Source organism: Homo sapiens, chromosome 5 (assembly GCF_000001405.40).
Source record: "Homo sapiens chromosome 5, GRCh38.p14 Primary Assembly".
In the NCBI taxonomy this organism is placed as follows: domain Eukaryota; kingdom Metazoa; phylum Chordata; class Mammalia; order Primates; family Hominidae; genus Homo; species Homo sapiens.
In genome coordinates this window covers 89,093,362-89,111,397 of record NC_000005.10, presented here as the reverse complement: position 1 = coordinate 89,111,397, position 18,036 = coordinate 89,093,362, and the positions used below count along the sequence as shown (strand labels likewise).

The 18,036-nt window shown below is 36.5% G+C and overlaps 1 long non-coding RNA gene across 6 annotated transcripts in view; it reads right to left on the bottom strand.

The window, feature by feature from the left end:
- MEF2C-AS1 (MEF2C antisense RNA 1) overlaps positions 1–18,036 on the bottom strand; it is a 584,252-nt gene that overhangs the window by 356,184 nt on the left and 210,032 nt on the right. For all 6 annotated transcript variants that reach the window (NR_136218.1, NR_136219.1, NR_136222.1 and 3 more), the window contains one exon: positions 16,369–16,439. This is a non-coding gene — a long non-coding RNA (MEF2C antisense RNA 1). The remainder of the gene's footprint in view (positions 1–16,368; positions 16,440–18,036) is intronic.

Sequence of the window (18,036 nt, the reverse complement as noted above, 5' to 3'; positions counted from 1 at the left end):
CATGTAAGACTTTTCAACATTTTTTTGTTTTGACAAAGAAGAACACCTAGATCTTTGGCCAATTTTTTAATGTTAGTTAAATTTCTTCTTTTTCTACCCTCAAAAATCAGTATAAGTAGACCAGTTATTGAGGTCAGAGATGCCCCACAAGGATCAAATTAAGAAGTCATTAAAGACTCAGCTCTACCAGTGACCACTGGAAAGCTACATAACTTTCCATTTCCTCATCTGTAAATTGGGCATAATACTCGTCCTGGGATGAGGAAATCAGTCAGCGTATACAGAGCTTTTAGAACAAAGCCTGGCACCTGGCACATAGCAGTTGCCATATAAATAGTTACTAACCTCATCCTCAAATTATTTTTCTCAGAAACCAAATTAAGTAATATACATGAGTATATAATTATTACATAATCTAGTTGGTCAATAGCAATACAACATTTTCAAAATTAGTTCTATTTTAAATAATTTTCTAATTTCAAATACTTTTGGGAATCCAAAAGATGAGCAAATATCTAAAATGCCAAGCAATATTAATTTAATACATTTAAACAGTGTATTAAACAACACTAAATGCTTTTCTGAAGCTTTGAATCACAGTTGTATAGTCGTTTTACTTATCTTGGTACAATTTTTTCCTAGTGATTAAATAACATTTCTATGAAAACACTTTCACTAGCTTTTAAAAGTCAGAGAGGTTGGGAACAAGAAAAAGTAAACAGTGTCTGCATGTCATTAGAGATGATTTCAATAAACACATTGGTCTGATAGAAATATCTTTTCTTTTTCTTTTTCTTTTTTTTTTTTTTTTTGAGACAGAGTCTTGCTCTTTCGCTCAGGCTGGAGTGCAGTGGCGCAATCTTGGCTCACTGCAACCTCTGCTTCCTGGGTTCAAGTGATTCTCCTGCCTCAGCCTCCCAAGTAGCTGGGACTACAGGCATGTGCCACCACGCCTAGCTAGTTTTTGTATTTTTAGGAGAGACGGGATTTCACTATATTGGTCAGGCTGGTCTTGAACTCCTGACCTCATGATCCGCCCACCTTGGCCTCCCAAAGTGCTGGGATTACAGGTGTGAGCCACCACGTCAGGCCATAGAAATATATATACGTATATTTTTTTCTTTTCTTTTTAATTGTGAACACAAGTGTCAGTAAAATTTACAATTTGCTTTAAGACAGCTTAAAGTCGAGACTTCCTTGGAATCTAGCTTTGATGTTTGCTGAAAGTGTCACTTATCCTTAAGTAGCCTTTAGGAGTTTGTTTAAGGTTATCACTCTAGGAGGACTCTTACTCTACAACATATGAAGAAGAGCTGTTGGGGTAAAGGAGGAAGAGCTCATACATCTCATGAGGGATACTGAATAAGAGCTGTTCCCAGTCATTCTCCAAAATTCCCTGAAAGTCTCCAGGAAGAGATGCTTTAAATATTCTCTTGGGTGGGGCCATTTTTAATTTTCTTGTGCTCTCTTTTATATGATATATGAATTAATTACAGTCATTTCCAGCTCTGACTCAAATAAGTTTCAAAATTGAAACAGAACATGGTGTAGGAAAGGGACTGGTGAAAAGAATTCATACTTGAAAACATTATCCAGACTGTTCTGCTTCAGAAGGGAAATGGTGGGAGTGACAGGAGGTATGAGGTATACGTTTATGTCTTTAGAAGAATTTTCATGCCCTGTTCTTTTTTGCTCTTTTTCCTTCACAAATAGTTTTTTAAAATGCTAGGAAATTTTACCTACTTTCCACAAAGGTCTAGATGACTTATAGTTTTATTGCTACCTGAAAGAGTGAGGAAATATTTGTGGGTTTTATTTTAGATTTTTTTTCAAGTATTTTGAGTGCTTTCTAAGATTTTTAATCTTTCCCTTCTATTCATGCCATCTAATTAAAAGCCACCAGTGATCAATAAATCTCCAGGTCCCTTTAAATTTTAAATGTGCAAAGTTACTTGTGTTGCATATCTTATACAAACTCATGGTACTGCTTAAGCAAACTCCTGTGTAAACAGTTATTCAAAAACTATACTTGAAATATCACCTGGCTGAGGACACTGGCAGGATCCAATTGTTATTGTCATAGTAGCACTCTATCCTGGTTTCCATTATTAGTGTATAGACATTTTACATAAATTTGAATATACATATCCTTCATGCCCCAGTGTTCAAAATGTCCCAAATGAAATTTCGGCTTGAGAAAAGTAACTGAATTGTTTATTGTTTATAGAGTGTCAAGGAGGACACAACAAAATAAGCCATTAAAACTTCTATTCTTTTGCCTAGAATGCTATCTTTTTATTTTTTTATTTTCATGGATACACAGTAGGCATATATATTTATGGGCTACATAAGATATTTTGATACAGGCATGCAATGTGTAATCATCATATCAGGGTAAATGGAATATCCATCACCTCAAGCATTTATCCCTTGTGTTACAAACAAGCCACTTATACTCTTCAAGTTATTTTAAAATGTATAATTACATTATTTTTGACTAATGTGATCCTGTTGTACTAGTAAATACTAGGTCTTATTCATTCTTTCTATTTTTTTATACCCACTATCCATCCCCTCCCCACCTTTCTCAGCCTCTGACAACCATCCTTCTATTCTCTATCTCCATGAGTTCAATTATTTTTCTTTTAGAGCTCACAAATAAGTGAGAACATGTGAAGTTTGTCTCTCTGTGCCTGGCTTATTTCACCTGACATAATGAGCTCCAGTTCTATGTATGTTGTTGCAAACGACAAAATCTTTCTTTTTCATGACTGAATAGTGCTCCATTGTACAAATGTACCACATTTTCTTTATACATTCACTTGTTGATGGACACTTAAGTTGCTTCCAAATCTTGGAATAGTTCACAATAGTGAGCAGAGCTGCAACAAACATGGAAGTGATTCTCTTTAATGCACTGATATCTCTTTAATATATTAATTTCCTTCATTTTGGGTATATACCCAGCAGTGAGATTGCTGGCTCATATGGTAGCTCTGTTTTTAGCTTTTTGAGGAACCTCCAAACTGTTTTCCACAGAGGTTGTACTAGTTTACATTCCCATCAACAGTGTACAAGGGTTCCCTTTACTCTACATCCTTGCCAGTATTTGTCATTGCCTGACTTTTAGATATAAGCCATTTTAACTAGGGGAAGATGATATCTTACTGTAGTTTTGATTTCCATTTTTCTGATGATTATGATGTTGAGCACCTTTTCATATTACTATATGACAATTGTATGTCTTCTTTTGAGGAATGTCTATTCAAATCTTTTGGCAATATTTCTTTATTTATTTAGACAAAGTCTCACTCAGTCACCGAGCTGGAGTGCAGTGGCACCATCATGGCTCACTGCAACCTCTGCCTCCCTGGTTCAAGCAATTCTCCTGCCTCAGCCTCCTCAGTAGCTGGAACTACAGGCATGCACCATCACACCTGGCTAATTTTTTTATTTTTAGTAGACAGGGTTTCACCATGTTGGCTAGGCTGGTCTCGTGACCTCAAGTGATCTGCCCGCCTTGGCCTCACAAAGTGCTGGGATTACAGGCATGAGCCACAGTGCCCGACCTCTTTCAGCAATTTTTAATTGGAGTATTAGATATTTTCATACAGAGTTGTTGGATCTCCTTATATATTTTAGTTATTAATCTCTTGTCAAATGAGTAGTTTGCAGATATGTTCTCTTGTTCTGTGGGTTTTCTCTTCACTGTGGTAATTGTTTCCTTTGCTGTGCAGAAGCTTTTTAACCTGAATAGGTTAAAAATGTGATGTGATCCCATTTCTCCATTTTTGCTTTGGTTGCCTATGTTTGTGGGGAATTACTCAAGAAATCCTTGCCCAGTCCAAAGTCCTACAGATTTTCCCCAATGTTTTCTGGTAGTAGTTTCATAGTTTACAGTCCTAGATTTAAGTCTTAAATCCACTTTGATTGATTTTTGTATATGGTGAGAAGTAGGGGTCTAGTTTCATTCTTCTTCATATGGATATCCATATGAAGAGATTATCATTTCCCCAATGTTTATTCTTGGCACCTTTGTCAAAAATGATTTCGCTGTAGATGTATGGATTTATCTCGGGGTTCTCTGTTCCATTCCACTTATCTATGTGTCTTTATACCACTACCACACATTTTTGGTTACTGTAGCTCTGTTTTATAATTTAAAGTCAGGTAATATGATTCCTCCCATTTTGTTCTTTTTCTTACGATTGCTATGGCTACTCTGGTCTTCTGTGGTCCCATATAAACTTTAAGATTTTCTATTTCTGTGAAGAATGACATTGGTATTTTCATAGGGATTGCATTAAATCTGTAGATTGCTTTGGATGATACGAACATTTTAACAATATTTATTCTTCCAATCCACAAACATGGAATATCTTTCCATTTTTTGTGTGTCCTCTTCAATTTCTTGAATCGATGTTTTATGATTCCTATTATAGAGCTTTTTGCTTCTCTGTTTAAGGTAATGCCTAGGTATTTTATTTGTAACTATTATAAGTGGAATTACTTTCTTGATTTCTATTTCAGATTGTTTACTGTTGGCAATATAGAGATGCTACTGATTTTTCTCTGTTGATTTTTGTATACTGCAACTTTACTGAATTTATTTATCAGTCCTAATAGTTCTTTCAGTGGAACATTTTGGTTTTTCCAAGTATAAGATCACATCATCTGCAAACAATTTCACTTCCTCCTTTTCCAATTTGGATGCCCTTTATTTCTTTCTCTTGTCTGACTGCTCTAGTTGGGACTTCCCTATAGTACTTTCCTTTCCTTTGCAATTATATATAACTTTTTAAGAATTACTAATTATGGTGAAGGATATTAAGCAATCTGATGACCTGAAAGTATTAATAAGTTTTCCTCGTTGTCTAACTAAAAATTGGAGAGAAAATGATTCCTCTGGGAACAATATGGGTTTGCAAGCAGGGTTTCCAAGATGAAATTTAAGACGGTGTATCACATCAGCATTTCAAAATTTCAAAAATGTCTAAAAGTGTTTGAAGGTGTACATCATGAGAGTAGCAGAAACCAACACTTCTCAATATGGTGCTTTTTCTCAGAATGATCAACCAGCTACCTGGTTGCAGGTTAAAGGCGTTGGACCACTTCCATCACGGAACAGGCAGCCTTTTGTCTTGTGGAATAGACCCTGGATATGAATTTTAATTCCCTGAATACAATGTTTCTGCAAAAACTGCCAGCTGTGGACTAGAATGTCTTATGTACCACAATGGTATTCCATACAGCATTACCTCTAATCAAGGAACTCACTTCACAGAAATGAAGTGAAGCAATGAGCTCATGATCATGGAATTCAGTCACTCACCATCTTCCCCACTGTCCTGAAGAAGCTGGCTTGATAAAACAGTGGAATGACCTTTTGAAGTATCAGCTGCAGCTCCATGGGGCTGTATGTGGTCTGAATCAACATCCAATATATGATGCGGTTTCTCGCATAGCCAGAATTAATGGGTCCAAGGATCAAGAGATGGAAATAAAAGTAGGGCCACTCACTATTGATACACTGTTAATTTTTTTTTTTTTTTTGCTATCTACAAGCAATTTTTTTCTTCTATCCCTGCAATCTTTGACTCTGCTGACCAAGAGTTCTTAGTTCTTCATCCTAGTGATTTACTAGCAGAAAGTTTTCCTCCTGTCCCTGCAACCTTAGGCTCTGCTAGCCTAGACAGTTTGGTTCCAAAAGGAGGAATGCTTCCACCAAGAGATGAAATGATGATTCAATTGAACTGGATTGCCACCTATCCACTTTAGACTCCTTACACCTGAAGCAAAGGAGGGAGTTATTGTGCTATCTGTGGTGACTGATCCTGACTACCAAGGAGAAATTGAACTGTTATTCCATAATGGAAGTAAGAAAAAGTATGTTTGGAATACAGGAAATCCCTTAGGCCATTTCTTAGTATTATTATTCCCTGTGGTTAAGGTCAATGGAAAACCACAACACAATTCAGGCAGTACTAGGCATGGCCCAGACCCTTCAGGAATGAAGGTTTGGGTAACTCCACCAGGTTAAAAAGCCACAGCCAGCTGAGATGCTTGCTGAAGGCAAAGGGAATACAGAATGGAAGAAAGTAGTTATACATACCAGCTATGACCACATGACCTGTTACAGGAAGGATAAATGTAATTGGCATTAGTATTCCCTCCTCAGTTTGTTATAAACGTGTGTGTGTGTGTGTGTGTGTGTGTGTGTATTAATACCATGTAACATAAAATGTATTGACTTTGTATCATGGTATTTAAGTTACAGGATATCAAGGAGAAGAGCAAACAATAGTCAAGAACTTTGTATTCTCTTCTGGGGAAAAAGTTAGTGCATTTTTGGTTGTATGCTGGATAGTCGTATCGTGTCAGGCAGAGGTATAACCTTGTTATTGTTTTCATTTGAAGATTAATTATGATATAAGGAGATGTGTATGGGGGCCAATTGACAGAAGTGAGCTTCTGGTGATTAATTTTATGTATAAACATGGATGGCCCATGGAATGCCAGATATTTGCCCAGATATTATTCTAAGTATTTTTGTGAGGGTGTTTTTGGATGTGACTAACATTTAAATCAGTGAACTTTGAGTAAAGCAGATTGCTCTCCATGATGTGAGCGGGCCTCACCGAAGCAGCTGGAAACCAGAATAGAACAAAAAGACCAGAATCCCCTCTAGACAGGAGATAATTCTCCAGCAAGCTGCCTTCAGACTGTATCTACATCACTGGCCCTTCCTGGTTCTATAGCAAATGGCCTTTGGATTCAAACTGGAACATTGACTCTCCTGGGTCTCCATCCTGCCAGCTCACCCTACAGAGTTTGGACTTGTCAGCATCCATAATTATGTAAGCCAATTCTTTATAGGAATATGTAGATAGATGATAGATAGATAGATAGATAGATAGATAGATAGATAGATAGATAGATAGATAGAGATATATTCTATATATATCTATATACATATACAATTGATTCTGTTCTTTGGAGAACTTTGCCTAATAAAATGTATTAATGAACTTTTCATTATCACTAAGTTGGATGTGCCCTTGTTATTTCTCCTTCTAACTTTTGTGTTACTCTCACTCTCTCTCTCTCTCTCTCTCTTCTTTATCTCTCTCACCTTTATCCTCCTATTTCCTAATTTCATCATATTCGCCAAATAACTCATTCCTTGGAAAATTACCTTCTTGGCAATCATTTAATCTCAGCATGAACTAATACCTCAAATAATTCTCAAATACATATTTCCAGGCTGGCTCCCTCTGAAGTTACAGATCCTCATTTCCAAATGCTTAATAGTGATCTTCATCTGGTTATTCATCAGATTTCTCAATATGTTCAAAACTGAACTTTTTTTCCCCCAAAACTATACTGTTTTCTATTTTCCTTATTCTGTTAATAGCAAAACCTTCCACCCTGCATATTTTGGTTACTCTAGTTCAAAATCACCTTCACCCTCCCTTTTTCTACACAACTTGTTGCTGAATCCTGGCAACCGGTTGCACTGGTTGTTACCCTTTCCTTTGCAACATCTCTAGCATCTATTCTCTCCTTTCCATCATTCCTCTTCCTCTGCCATTTACACCCTGGTTCAATCCCAGGTCAGTTCCCCCTGACTTTCTTCAAGAGTTTCTAACAGGTTTACCTTATTCTAGACTATTTCCTTCTGTCCATTTTCCCTATGATGCTGAAATTATTTTCCTGAAGAAGCCATACAAAAATCTTAAGAGAAAGAGAAATGACTGAATGGAAAACATATCCTCATCCAAATAAGTAAACCCAAGTGTGGTCTCTATTGGAGGGATGGACCATCATAAATGTAACCCAAGTTGTGAGGTAGCTGTGCTGTTGATGGCATCCAAGAACAATAAGCCACACACAAACGGTACTAGGGTGTAACTTCAAAGGTACAAGGCAGAGTCAAGAAAAAATCCACATTTAGGACAATGCTAAGGCTTTGACACATTCGGTTTGAAAGAGAAAGATGGGAAATCACGAAGGCTTCAGAGGATACAGCCAATCAAAAAGCCAAGGATGAGCAGCTGACCTTAGGGATATGGCTATTACAACTAATTCTCTCTCCAGCCTCATGGAAGCATCTGGCATTGCCAGGGCTGCTCCTGTCTATTGATATTGGGAGAGTCAGTGACCAAGAATGATTTGGTGTATATATATACACATACATATATACATATACATATGTATTACATATATGGGTATATATATATGTGTGTGTGTGTGTGTGTGTTTGTGTATATAATTTTTTTTTTTTTGAGACGCAGTCTTGCTCTGTTGCCCAGGCTGGAGTGTCGTGTAGCGATCTCGGGTCACTGCAAGCTCCGTCTCCCGGGTTCACGCCATTCTCCTGCCTCAGCCTCCGGAGTAGCTGGGACTACAGGTACCTGCCACCACGCCTGGCTAATTTTTTGTATTTTTAGTAGAGATGGGGTTTCACCGTGTTAGCCAGGATGGTCTTGATTTCCTGACCTCGTGATCCACCCACCTTGGCCTCCCAAAGTGCTGGGATTACAGGCGTGAGCCACCGCGCCCGGCCTATTTGGTGTATATTTTTAATCCTGCCTCTTGACTGTAGGATTCTTAAAAGCAAAGGTGCTAATTTTCATTGTTATACCTTGCTTCATACTTGGTCGTATACAACTTAATGTTGATCAAAACAAAACAAAACAAAAAATCTTTACCCTAACATTCAGATCAATTCATGATCTAATTCTGGCTTACCACTTCAAACTTATTTCTCATCAGAGATTCTTGGCTCAAGCAAGCTGAGCTGATGGTCTAAGTACATAGTTCATATTTCCAGCCACTGTTCCAGCAGTCTTCCTCATGACCACAGTTCTTTTTCTCCATATGTAGGAATTGTATTCAGCCTGGACTACTTAAATGCCACTTTCTCTAAGAAATCCCACACTTCAAACATGCCCTTTACTCACTCTCACTTTTCTAAATCCACAGGAAAAAAAATGAATTATTTCTGAAGGCATTCATAATTTTCCCTTCATATTATTGTTCCTTTTATACATTATACCTTCCTACTTTTCTGTAAGTTCACTGACAACAATTCCTATCTGAGTCATCTTTGTCTGCCTCCCCTGCAATAGCAGTAGTCCTGTACACAGTGAACACAATATATGTTTGCTAAACTTTAAAAAAATATCCGTTACACTTCTTAAGTTTTAAAAAATCTATATTTTATGTCACGATTTGCTGACCTGGTACATCAGCAGTAGAAGCAATCTTAATAAAATAATTCTTCCTCTCCCTTTTCAATTGCATAAAGCCTAGTCCTAGATTTTGGGTAACTTCATCAGATATGGAAATAAATTTGTCATTGAATATCTGGGAAACACTAAGAAAGGCAGATACATATTCTGATGAGAACAACACTAATAATGATAAGAGTTATACAGCACTGTGATGTGTTAGACATTGGCCATTGTATACATTAACTTAAATCTCACATCACTCTTATGATGCTAGTATAGATGAAGAAACTGACATACAAAGAGTTTAAGAAATTTGCCTAAATTCAAGCAACGAATAAGTGGTAGAGAAAAGACTCAAATCCAGGCAGTCAGGAATCAGAGTTCATGTTCTTAAGTCCATTCTACAAAATACAACTCCTATTATATTCTACCCACTATTCAGAAAAATGTCCATGTTAAAGGGATGGTCCTTGGCTTGAAGAGCCAGCTCCTTTCAATGAGTGACCCTTGAACCCCTTCTCAAGGGTGAATGGAAGGTACTCTAGAGCAAAGGGCACATGAGGATCAAGGACTCCAATGAGTGTTCTAAAATGACATTGTAGCAATGAAAATTTGAGTAATACAGCTCCAATGTCATTATATAAGGCTTTCAGTAGAGGGAGGTATAGAAAATGACATGTTTCAAGAGTGTTGCCTTTGTAGTAGCCTCAGAACCAAACTTTCTAAAAAGCAAAATGGAATATATGTGAATACTGGAATCACGAATACCCTTATTGCACACATCCTGCTGTGAGTTACTCTTTGAACAGAATTGCTGCTTAGACTTCAAACCACCACTGTGACCTCAAGAGGTTAGCAGAAAAGAGAAATTCTTTGGTTTAGAAACCATAACATGGGTATAATGCCATTTAAAGGCCTAAGACTTAGAACTGAATATGGCTTTTTGGGAAAAGTCAGTCAATCCTCTTCTAAAAAGGAGGAAATCTCAATGAAGCCTAGTGCTTTTTAATTTCCAGATTAATATAGAAAGACCTAATAGCAGTATAATGTTATTTTACCCATAAAAGTAGATGTCATATTCTTAAACATCATTAGCTAAATCATGTTCTTTAACTGATCATGTTCATACTAGACTTTTTTTCAATTTGTGACAATCTTTTCAGTGTGAAATGGTAGATACGTGCTACTGCTCTGGAGAAAGAAATAGTGAAATATAGGCTACATGAAATATTTTGGGACCATGAAGAGTATATAATGCAGCAAATTAAAAAAAGATTCAGGAAGTAAGCAAGCCAGGCAGTCTCACTCTAAAACAATGGATTTAAACTACATATCTGTATATTTGATAGATGAGGAGCAGGGTTCTCTTAAGAGAGAGTCCCAGAACAGAGGACAGAAGTGTTTATATAACCTTGTGATTGAACTAGAAAAACAAAAACAATAACAACAACAAAACCTCTCATATTGTAATTCTGAAATCATATATGGGTAAAGGAATATTTCTAACTCATCTCTCACAGACTATATTTTTATAATGATTTCTGTCCCTTTCCCTCAAATTCAGCAATTTTTGTCCTTCATCATATAACCAAAAAAGGATTTTCTATTTTTTTTCAGGAGGCAGGACATACAAATCTCTTTTACAACAGCTGCAAAAAATAAAAATAAAATACCTAGGAATATACTGAAACAAGAAGTGAAAAATCCCTACAAGTAGAGAACCACAAAACGCTGCTGAAAGAAATCACAGATGACACAAATAAATGGAAACACATCCCATATTCATGGATTTGAAGACTCAATATTGTGAAAATGACCATACTATCCAAAGCAATCTACACGTTTAATGCAATTCCTATCAAAATACCAATAGCATGTTTCACAGAATTAGAAAAAACAATTTCCAAATTTGTATGAAGCCAAAAGAGCCCAAACAGCCAAAGCAGTCCTAAGTAAAAAGAACAAATCTGGAGGCATCACACTACTGGACTTCAAATTATACTACCAGCCTATAGTTACCAAAACAGCATGCTTCTGGTATAAACGTAGGCACATAGACCAACGGAACAGGAGAGAGAACCCAGAAATAAAGCCAAATATTTACAAGCAACTGATCTATAATAAAGCATACAAAAACAGAAATTGGGGAAAGGACACCCTGTTTTGTAGATGCTGCTGGGAAAAATGAATAGCCACATGTAGAAGAATGAAACTGGATCCCAATCTCTCACCTTACACAAAAATCAACTCAAGATAGGACAAAAGCTTAAATCTAAGACAGAAAAACATAAAAATTCTAGAAGATAACTTAGAAAAACTCTTCTAGACATTGGCCTAGGCAAAGAACTCATGACTAAAACCCCAAAAGCAAATGTAACAAAAACAAAAATAAATAAATGGGACCTAATTAGATGAAAAAGCTTCTGCACAGAAAAGGAAATAATCAGCAGAGTAAACAGACAACCCACAGAATGGCAGAAAAATGTTTGCAAACTATATATCCAGCAAAGGGCTAATATCCAGAATCTAAAAGGAACTCAAGCAAATCATCAAGAAAAGAACAAATAATCCAATCAAAAAGTGGGAAAAGGACATGAGTAGACATTTCTCAAAGGAAGATATATAAATGGCCAACAAACATATGAAAAAATGCTCAACAGCCTACTAATCCTCAAGGAAATGCTAATTAAAACCACAATGAGATATCACCTTACTCCTGCAACAATGGCCATTATTAAAAACTCAAAAAACAATAGATGTTGGCATGGATATAAGGAAAAGTGAACACTTATATGATGCTGGTGGACATGTAAATTAGTACAACCTCTATGGAAAACAGTATGGAGATTAATTAAGGAACAAAAAGTAGATCTGTTCAATTCAGCATTCGATTTGGCAATCCCACTACTGGGTATCTACCCAAAGGAAAAGAAGCCATTACATGAAAAACACTCATGCACATTGTATGTTTATTGCAGCACAATTCACAATTGCAAAGATACAGAACCAACCTGAGTGCCCACTGACCAACGAGTAGATAGAGAAAATGTGGTATATACACACCATGGAATACTACTCAGCCATAAAAAGGAAAAAATGCTTTTGCAGCAACTTGGATAGATCTGGAAGCCATTATTCTAAGTGAAGTAACTCAAGAATGGAAAATCAAATACCTCATATTCTCACTTATAAGTGGGAGTTAAGCTATGGGTATGCAAAGGCATACAGGGTGGTATAATGGACTTTGAATACTCAGAAGGGGGAGGATGGGAGGAGGTGAGGGATACAAACTACATATGGGGTACCATGCACACTACTTGGGTAACCAGTACACTAAAATCTCAGAATTCAACACCATGTAACTTGTCATGTAATAAAAAACCACTTATACCCCAAAAACTATTGAAATAAAAATAAATAAATAAAATTAAAATGGAAAATCTTAAGAAAAAGAAATGATCATAATAATAGTTATCATTGCTATATAGATAATACAATAAAAGGAAAGGAGGGAGGAAAGGAGGGAAGGAGGATGAGAAGAAAGGAGGAAAGGAGCAAGAGAGGAAGGAATGAAGGGAAGGAGGAAGAGAGGAAGGAATGAAGGGAGGGAGGGAGAGAGGAAGGTAGGAAGGGGGAGGAAGAGGGGAGGAAGGAAGAAAGGAAGGAAAGAAGGAAGGAAGGAAGGAAAGAAAGAAAGGAGAGAGGGAAGGAGTGGGGGAGGGATGGGGAGGGAGAATAAAAGGAATATATAGTTTTAGTTTGTATCATTTCTTATAAAATATATTAGGTTACATCATCTCCTTCTCCTTTCAAAGAAACCTATCAAAATAACACCTTGCTAGTTTTCTCTGGGGTTGTCATTTTAATCATGTTCATATATACTAGTAAAACATTTTGTTACTAGAGTATTAATATTTGGTATATGACTGAATCTCTAGCACTCATAATAAACATTTTCTCAATACAATAGATGCTCTTAGATTTCCTTTAATAGATTAACAAAAGAATTACTACTGGTGGAAAAATAAAAAAAAAATTAGTTCCAGCCACTTTTGAAGAAAAAATATTACAAAAAGACTTACACGATGTGCATTGCCTCAAGTAAGTGATTTTATCATTCTAAGCTGTTTAAAATAATCAGCCTCATAGAACTTTAGTGACCACCACTTTCTCACACTGTATTTGTAGTGAAGCCTCCTTATTAATTTATCAAGAGACAAACTAAATCCTCAAATACTTGCATTATCAAATTATTACATGACATGGGTTTTCTCTGTTCCAAGTTCCAGATGTGTCTAAGTCAGCTTTAGTCTCATAATACAAACTGTATGCTCTATAGACTCTTCCATACAAATTTCATGGTTTGTATCAGACTCTAAATATTGAGAGCATGTAAATATCATTGAAATATTTTTATCTAATTTAATTAACTTTCCCTACCGTATTGAGTATATCAACCATAGTTTTACCATTATCCCTTAGGCTGAATGATTATAGTATAATTTATGGAGATGAAGCCAAGAGCATATAACTAGTAAATCATCTATAATAAGCAAAGTGGAAAAGCATATTCCCTCTTCACAGGTGGATGATAATATTTGTGCCAAATAATATAGCACTTCTCCCCCTCCTTGGTATTTTAGACATGCATTTTGTTGTCAGGCTCCCTGCCAAAGGCTGCATGGGTCGCAGTGGAGTCTCGCTAATAATTCAAAAGGTGAGTTAATTAGAGGTTGCAGTTTGGAATGTTATCAAGCTGCTGCTTAGACATCTATCTGCTTTCCATACAGGTGTGAAATATTGACAGCAATTTTAGAAGTGTGATGACATTTTTACCTTTCACTTACTTGATTAGATTTTGATATGACTCATACTTTAACAGGAATAGAAACTATACCTCTGTTCAAGTAGCTATTTACCATAAGAAGGCACTGGGGAAGTTCAAAAGAAATGTAGTATTTAACGTATTAACAAAAACTCTTGGGAATTCCTTCCTTCTCCCATTAGAGCACAGAGGTTGATTTTGAATTTTTTTGGTCAAAATTAACCATTTATACCATAGTACCTTTCAATAACATGTTTTGAAATTATGATGACACTGAAAGCAGATTACAATGAAGCTTTGTTTTAGAAATACATTAATTATATGATCACATTTCCTGAATTAATAATAGGCCACAATAGAGATAATGTGAACGTTAGAGCTGTTTTTGCCTTAATATCATATCATATCAGGAGAAAGACTATAAAGAGGCCCAAATGTTGTCATGTATCTGGGAACATCTGGGTATGAATTAGGTGAAAAAATTAGCTACAACATAAATGGAGACAGTTCTATAACATGTATTTTATCATCACACTCCTAGGAGTTCAAAATTTTTAATACATTTATTGTGATTAAGAGCTTTAGATAATGATTGTATCTAAATATCCTTTTTGAATTGCCCTATTTTTTCCCTACAATAGTAGGATCATCAGTAGATCAAGCAGATAAATATGCATCCGAGATAAATATACATCATCAGTAGATACAGCAATTAATAGGGCAAATGTTTTCTATGTAAGCAATGTTTCCCTTTTTTTAATCTCTTCCAGTCAAAGTCAGACACAAGTTTTAATCTAATGTCCCTTGCAGGTCTTCTATTTTCTGATTTCCCCAAAATAAAAGGCCATTTGCTAAGCCTCCAAGTCTGGCATAAAACTCTTTACATATGACCTTTAAATATTTTTGCGTATTTTATTTACTTTTCCATGAGTTATGAAGATGATGATAATGGTTATGATGATAATGAAAATGAGAGCAACAGAATTGAGGACAGGTTTGTTTTAAAAATTTAAAAATTAAATTTAAATTGATTAAAAATCACCCAATTATTGGTCTTTTTATGTATTTGTGGAAAATATTTTAATTTTGTTCCGCTGAAAGCAGAGCCTCAGACAAGGATGTAAGAGCATGTGGCTTGGTTTGGAGGTCATCTCAGTAAGCAGGAATGAAGGAGTGGGGAGAGGCAGGCAGGAAAAGTGCAAATGTAAGAGCTTATTATTGACCTTACTTCTGTAAAGCCTCAAGTCTGCTCAGACCTCTAAGAAGCATACAGAACGTCTTCCAGCATTGTCCACCTGAAGAAGAGGAGTTGGCAGCTCTTATTTCTTTGTTTAAAGTTGTCCCCAGGGGTGATATATTTTCCTTTTTTTTTTTTTTTTTTTTGAGACGGAGTCTCACAGGCTGGAGTGCAGTGGCGGGATCTCAGCTCACTGCAAGCTCCGCCTCCTGGGTTCACGCCATTCTCCTGCCTCAGCCTCCCGAGCAGCTGGGACTACCGGCGCCTGCCACCACGCCCAGCTAATTTTTTGTATTTTTAGTAGAGATGGGGTTTCACTGTGTTAGCCAGAATGGACTCAATCTCCTGACCTCGTGATCCACCCACCTCAGCCTCCCAAAGTGCTGGAATTACAGGTGTAAGCCACCGCACCCGGCCTTATTTTCCATTTTTAAATACCCCACACTTCTTAGCAGTGTTCACTTCAGGCCACAGGTGAAATGCCAGCATAGCTGAGAAAGCCCAGAGGATATAAGCTGAAAGATACCAACCAAGTGCTTAAGATAGGAAACCACCATCCTGAGAGAAGTTATGCCTGGGCTTACAAGAAACCAACCATGAAATGCAATTGTGGCCACAAGCATATGTGGCCAAGGGGATGTAATGAGGGCACCAAAGATATCCATTGTGAGAATTAAGTTATTTTTAAGACAAAAACTCTTACAAGTTTTGTTGTGGTTAAATTTTTAAGTTCTCTCTCAACCAAATATTTTGCTTGAGTACAAATTAGTGACTAGCATTTCATCACCTTTATTTTCCTTTGCCTCACAAAGCAACTAAGAGAAGACAGCCTTGACTGTATTAATGTCAGAAAGGAGAGGAAAGGATTTCCTAAGACGTCCTGCCTCTAAGCACAGACTGGTGGTTTAGTATTATAAAAATTTTGTCTTCTTTGATAAGGTAGACCAATTCCCGACAAGAAGGAGTAAAATGATCAAAATGAACACGGCAGAAAAAACTTTTTGAAAACCAACATAATTCATAAATTGTGTTAAATGGGATTATTGATTGGCAGATAATCACTCCCTTACCTCTCCACAGCTATGTTACACTGTACATTTGCAATCTCCAATAAATCAGGCCTCCAGATGTTCAAAACTGCCTGTAATACAAACAAAAGCTTGATAAACATTTGTACATTGGCATGTCTCCTCTCAGAACTCACCCCCATGAAAGGCAGCCACCGTACAGATATCATACCATAAAGAAACTGGGGCTACACACCCAGTGAGAAACCCAAAAGGAAGAAAAGCCATCTTAGACTTTCTGGCACTGAGTTCTCATCTGAAAGCATATGTTTGAGTGACCCCAGTTATACCATATGAAGCAAAAGAACTACCCAAAAAATCATGAGAAATAATAAACACTGTTTTTTAAGCTATAGGTTTGGATTTTTTTTTTCTGCAGCAATGTATAACTGATACAGAAATTGGTGCCAGAAATGGGATTCTATATAACAAAAACTACAACACGTGGCATTGACCTTGGGAACAGCAAATGAGTAGAAACCTGAAGGCGGCAAAGAGATTGTTTGGTAGAGGCTTGAAAACCAGTTAAGAAAGTGTGGATGAAGCTTGTAGAAAGAAGAATCTTTTGTTAGTGGAAAGATAAATGAGATTGTTGCCTGTGAGAACTTTGAATATAGAAAATATGCTTAAGAAACTTATGGATATTTCCAGGTAGAATGCTGAATATGTCAATTGATTCCTTTAGCCTCTTCTGATAAGGTATTGTAAAAGATAGTTGAACTAAAGATAGAATTGGTCGATTTCCAAGCACAATTTAAAGAGGATATTTCCAATCCAGAACTCCGTGAGTGAAAAAATGAAAATCTTTCTTATTTTCAGCTTCTCTAGGTGGAAAAAAAAAATTAAGAAACTATTTTAGGGCAAAAAAAAAAAAATCCAGAGTGCCACCAAAAAACATGACTTTGAGATCAAGATCAAATTAAAGATGAAGATGTAATATACTTTGTTGAAACCTCAAAAGATTTAAGGTAATGATTTAAAGACCTATATGGCATCTTAGAATTCTCAGGGTGTTGTTCCACAGCAGACAGCCTCCAGTAGAGATGAGCTGGTCTTGAAGAGATGTATGAGTGTAGTTTCAACCTACCTGAGTAAATTATGGTTTGATAATATAGAAAACCCATAAGGTATTCAAAGGAGTTGAATCAGTTTTTGTTAGAAATGTTTAAAATTAAAAGGTGTACCTGGGCCCCCAGCTTTCTGCAGACAGGAAACAGGCTGGAAATTTTTTTTCAGCTGCAAATATATGTCATTCCTCATGGATAAGGAAAGATAAGTCAGAAAGCAAAGCCAAGAGCTGAGAGGGTGAAGCTAAGAGTCAAAAGTGTGCAGCCATGAGTAATGGGTAGGAGAACCATGACCAATATGCATAATCGAATTTTAATCAAGGAAAAGTCCCAAAACAAGGGAAACTGAAGACATTTACCCAATAGGATTGGTTAAATGTATTGCCATGGACAATACTAGTATGTGCCTTCAATTCTGCCTCTTTTTAAACGAGAACCTCTACTGTGCTTATCCTGTCCCATTGTGCATCAAGTATGTGTGGAGCAAATAACCTATCTTTTCAGTTTTCAAACATTTGCTATCCAAGAAGTCATGCCTAAGGAACAATATCTAAGAAGCTACACATAAGGCACCACATCTGAGACATCTCATTGTACCAACACC